The sequence below is a fragment of the Homo sapiens genome, chromosome 5 (genome assembly GCF_000001405.40).
Source record: "Homo sapiens chromosome 5, GRCh38.p14 Primary Assembly".
NCBI lineage: Eukaryota > Metazoa > Chordata > Mammalia > Primates > Hominidae > Homo > Homo sapiens.
Window position 1 is genome coordinate 39,769,590 of NC_000005.10, and position 5,449 is coordinate 39,775,038.

The window sequence follows — 5,449 nt, forward strand, 5'->3', positions numbered from 1 at the left end:
TCAGCCTCCCGAGTAGCTGGGACTACAGGTGCGTGCCACCACACGGGGCTACTTTTTTGTATTTTTAGGAGAGACGGGGTTTCACCACGTTGGCCAGGCTTGTCTGAACTCCTGACCTCAGGTGATCCGCCCTCCTCGGCCTCCCAAAGTGCTGAGATTACAGGTGTGAGCCACCGCGCCCCACCAGGAAAGGATTTCTTTGGCTGGTACTCTGAATCCTGGGGTTGGTGCTTTTATGCATGTATTTATATACATAAATGTATAACCAATGGTAGAATTGATCTTTCTAATTATTGGACAAATAATAGGTTAATTAAGATATGACCCTGAAATAGCTGATTAATAATTCAGGGGAAAAATAAACATTATGTCACAATGTACTGCAAAATAATATCATAGATTTAGAAAGAAATTCTAGCAAACCAAAAAAAAAATTAAAAAGCATACTTAAAAAGACTATGTAAATATTTACCTTACTGAAGCATGGGAAAGGTCATTCTCTGCATAGAGGCATGAAAAAACAGGTCATTAAATTATGCTTCACAAAAATTAAGATATTCTGCATATCAAAAATGCCACATAAGGGATAGACAATGTGAGAAAAAAATTACAAATAAATTAATAGATAGGAATAGTTAGATATCCTTCTTAAAATAATTCTTGAAAATCGTAATCTCAATTGAAAAATTGCATATTCAATAATGTTTGGAAAATGTTTAATGGTACAGAAAAATTTATCAGTTAAGATTGCACAGGCAATCAGTTGACAAAAACATGCTATGAAATGTCCATCAAGGTTCTGTGTGATGGAATTATGGACATTTTTTAATGTTTTTATATTTTTTCGGAATTTTCTTTTATATACAGAAGAAGTGTTTCATTTCTAAAAATACAAAACTCTAAAATAAAGTAAGCACAATTACTGATATTCATTAAATCCATTTCAGGGGAATGGTGTGGGGAGATATTTGAATAACATATATGTTCTTCCTCTTAGATTATTTTTAGAAATAATCATGCTTGTTCTATTGAAAATATAATGGGAATTATTCATTTCAAAAAGACTGTGCTTGCAAAGCTTGTTTGCATTTCTAAAGCTGTGTATCCTATTATAGTTTTGTAAGGTTACAAAAATGTCACAAATGGGAAAAATAACACAGTAGGTTAAGTGTTGCCCTAAACTTCATCACTGTATATCTTTCAGTAAATCATTTTACCTTTCTACCTTTTAGTTTGTTTATTAGACACCTGAGCTCTGAGCTTTCGCTTAAGTAATGTTTCGGCATGTCAGGGAGAATCTTGATATGGGCAGCTAGGAGTGAATTTGCCTGGAGGGCAGGGAACCATTGAGGCCATAACTTATTCCAATATTAGCAGGAAGTCAAGTAGGGTAGTGATGCTTATTAACCAAGTTTTAATCATGGGCACGGAGGAGTAAGGCTAAGTATACATGATTTCTTTTTTGAATTTGTTTCTATTCATTCCCATAGTCTTGTGACTTAAGAAAGTAACAACACACAAATAAAAACCACAAAATACAGGTTTTCTAAAAATTCTGTAAGGTAATATAACATGAGCTCCCGTAGTAAGAAATCCAATTGTTTCTCACAGCATCAGTGGCTTCCAAGTAGCTGCACAAAGTCAGGATAAGTGATGATGCCTGAGAGCTATGATGCTCACAAAAACCAATTCGGCCGGGCGTGGTGGCTCACGCCTGTAATCCTAGCACTTTGGGAGGCCCAGGGGGGCAGTCAGGAGATGGAGACCATCCTGGATAACAAGGTGAAACCCCGTCTCTAATAAAAATACAAAAAATTAGCCGGGCGTGGTGGCGGGCGCCTGTAGTCCCAGCTACTGGGGAGGCTGAGGCAGGAGAATGGCGTGAACCTGGGAGGCGGAGCTTGCAGTGAGCGGAGATCGCGCCACTGCACTCCAACCTGGGCGACAGAGCGAGACTCCGTCTCAAAACAGAAACAAAAACAAAAACAAAAAACACTTCAACTACGCTCATGAATGGACCCTCTCAGAGAAACTTTAGAGAGGAAGGACTTTTGCAGAAAGTTATTAAAAACACTCCAGCAGTTGTGGGGAAACAGCAAGGATCACATGAATGCTAATTTTACTTGAGTCACAAAGATACCGTATGCGGAAGACTTTTAGGAAATATGGATATTAAATGAGTATACAAAATGTGTGAGTGTACAAAATATGAATTTGGTCAGTTCAGACACAATGTGATCAATTGAAAAAGAATAAGAAAACAAAGCTCATTCCTTGGATTGGGTGTTCACTTACTGATCTCTCTTGCAGGGGCTACAAACTTTTACTGTTAGTGCTCTGTGAGGCAGCATCTAGATAAGTAGAGCAATTGTAAAAAGATTTTTTAAAAACAAAAAGAATTTGAAAAGGGAAAATAAGGTCAAATTCAAATTGTAAACATTACTTCAAGATATCTCCATATGTATAAACAAACAAACACATATAATTGATGTAAATTGGGTTATATTATGCATATGATTTGGCAACTTCACATTTTTTACTCAGTGTTATTCATTGGTAGCTTCCTAGAAGATACATATCATTCTATTTAGAGGCTATATAGTATTTCAATGTATGGACAGATCATACTTACTTAACTAGTCATGTATTAATGGAGATTTATGCATTCAACAACTCTTCATATAGAATACATACTATGTAGTTAGCAACCATGCTGGACATTGTGGTACTATGATGAGCAAGGGAGAGATGATTTCTGCTTTAAAAAGCATATAGCTTGGTGCAGGGCTTCAAAATAAACATTCAGAGGCAAAAAAAAAAAAAAAAAACTGAGAGATACTGATCTCTTCTGCCCTTGTGGCAACTGGATAGGGCCTGAGAGCCGGGGAGCATGTGATTCAGTTGCCACTGGCCCTGAGCAGCCCTGTGTAGTCCTCCCTGAAGCAAAGAAGCAATTAACAATGCAGCTTGTGGCTCTAGTAGGCTGTGAACAAAATGGTTGCACCATTCCATTACACAGAGGGAAACGGTGAAGGAGCTGCTCCCCTCCCTGCTCTGATCCATTCTGCAAGTCAGAACAACCAAATAGACAATGCATGATCCATTCTGCAAATTAGAACATCCTGAACATTTAAGAATGCTTGATATAAAAACAGTTTAGTTGAATTAAAAATATACATGAGCATAATCAAATTTCAAGGTTTGAATTTGTTGAGGGAAGAAAAAGAAAACCTATTAAATTCCTTAAGTATAATTTCAACTATTTTGTATACTGATAAAAGGTGATATAAAGATCACCTTTACTGAAACAAATTCAAATTTCTCATTTAAAAAATATTGGAAAATATTTTATTTGCTCCAAAATTTAGTATCTTCCCTGCTTTGAATTCTACTTATTATAAATATATGGTATAAAAATAATAATGGTTTCACTCAAACTCCATTAGGAAGCAGCTAAATACCCTAGTAGCAGACTGTGCCATAGAAATATTAGCAACTTCTTCATCTGCGCTATCAAATGACAGGGTGGGAAGCACTGGTCTGCTTCTTAAACTACCTGTAATGAAGGATATACATATTACAAATCATATATATATATAATATATATAGATTATATATGTATATTACATAAAATATCAATGAAAATATATGACTAAAAATAAAAAGAAAAATGACATAAATACAAGCCCCCTTTCTAATATTAAGGTCCATATATAAAATTTCCTTGTCAAATTGTTATAAAAGTTTAATGCTTACTCTCATATTTTTACCTTATCATGTCATGAACCTGCTAAGAAACCAGTCTGCAGACCAGAAATAGAAAATGGACCAAACTTTGAGTAACTCTGCTTTGTTACTGTCAGATTCAAATTTTGAGCTATTAGAAGCAATACTACAATTCATTCTGTTAGGCATACAACTTAATAAAGTTTTCTGATTAATTCTTTGCAATAAACTCTTAGAAATGGAACAATAGAGTCTTCTTTTGTCCTTCAATTATAAATATATATAAATCAACTTGTTTTGCTGACAGCATGATATGTTTTGTTACTGTACATGTGGCTGTGGTCTTTACTTTTCCTGTTGTTAGTTTTATATATCAGCAGAGTATGCCTGTTTTAATATTAAAAGTAGTGTATACTAGAATAGCTAAAATGATTTTGAAAAGGAATAAAGTGAGAGGAATTAATCTTCCCAATATTAAGGCTACATTAATCATGACCGTGTAGAACTGGTGGAAGGATAGAAACACAGATCAGTGGAACAGAACAGAGAAGTCAGAAATATCCACACATGTATACACAAGTAATTTTTGATAAGGAAGCAAAAATAATTCAATGAAGAAGGAATAGCCTTTTCAATAAATAGTGCTGAAGCAATTAAACATCCATAAGCAAAAAAAAAAAAAAAAGAACCTCGACATAAGCTTTATACCCTATACAAAAATGATCTCAAGATGGATCCTCAACTTATATATAAAACATAAAGCTATAAAACTTCTAGGTAAAAATTGAAAGAAAATATTTAAGATCTAGGATTAGGCAAAGAGTTGTTAGGCTTAACACCAAAAGCGTGACCCATAAAAGGAAACAAACGATAATCATTTGGACTTCATAGAAATTTAAAAATGTGTGCTCTGAATTACCCTGTTAATAGGGAAAAAGAAAAATTACAGATTTGGAGAATATATTTGAAAATTACACGTACAAAAATGATTGTTATTTAGAATATATAAATGATTCTCAAAACTCAAAATTTAAAAAGCAAGCAGTCCAAATAAAAATGGGCAAAAGACACTTGACTGCACAGAGTATATGGATTTCAAAAAAACACATGAAAATATGTTTAACATCTGAGTTTGAATCTGAGGGTTTAGGAGAACGGGTTAGCAACAGTGCTCAAAGAAGCAGCTATGAAAAATGTTATCATCACCATCATGATCATCATCATCATCATCATTAGCAGTTAGAGAAGTGCAAAGTAAAACCAAAATGAGATATCACTGCACATCGGAGTAGCTAAAAAAAAATTGTGAAAACCCTAAATGCTAAGGAGGGTGCAAAGACACTGGATCATTCATACATTGTGTTTAGGAATGTAAAATGGTACAGCAACTCTGAAAAAATAGTTGGCAGTTACTTTCAATACTAAAAATAGACTGACAGAGCAATTGCACTGTTAGACATATATCACAGAGAAATTTTAAAAATTCATGCAGAAAATTCCTCCATGATTGCTTATGGCAGGTTTTTAAAAAATGCTAATAGACCAGAACTGGAAACATCCCAGATGTCCTTCAGTGAATGGTGCACACATGTCATGAAACACTACTCAGTAATAAAAAAGAAAGAGCCTATTGATACACACAACAGCTAAGATGAAGCTCATGGATGTTATGTTGAGCCAAAAAAGCAATCTCAAAAGAATACATACTTTGGATTAATTCATG

At 34.5% G+C, this 5,449-nt stretch overlaps 1 annotated feature.

The window, feature by feature from the left end:
- Positions 2,389–2,558: an enhancer, noted in NCBI's record as "experimental_84930 CRE fragment used in MPRA reporter constructs". NCBI's record gives its function as "activates a minimal promoter by MPRAs in K562 erythroleukemia cells, with activity observed for both the introgressed and non-introgressed 5:39772165 variant alleles {active_cell/tissue: K562}" and the evidence as "EXISTENCE:reporter gene assay evidence [ECO:0000049][PMID:34662402]".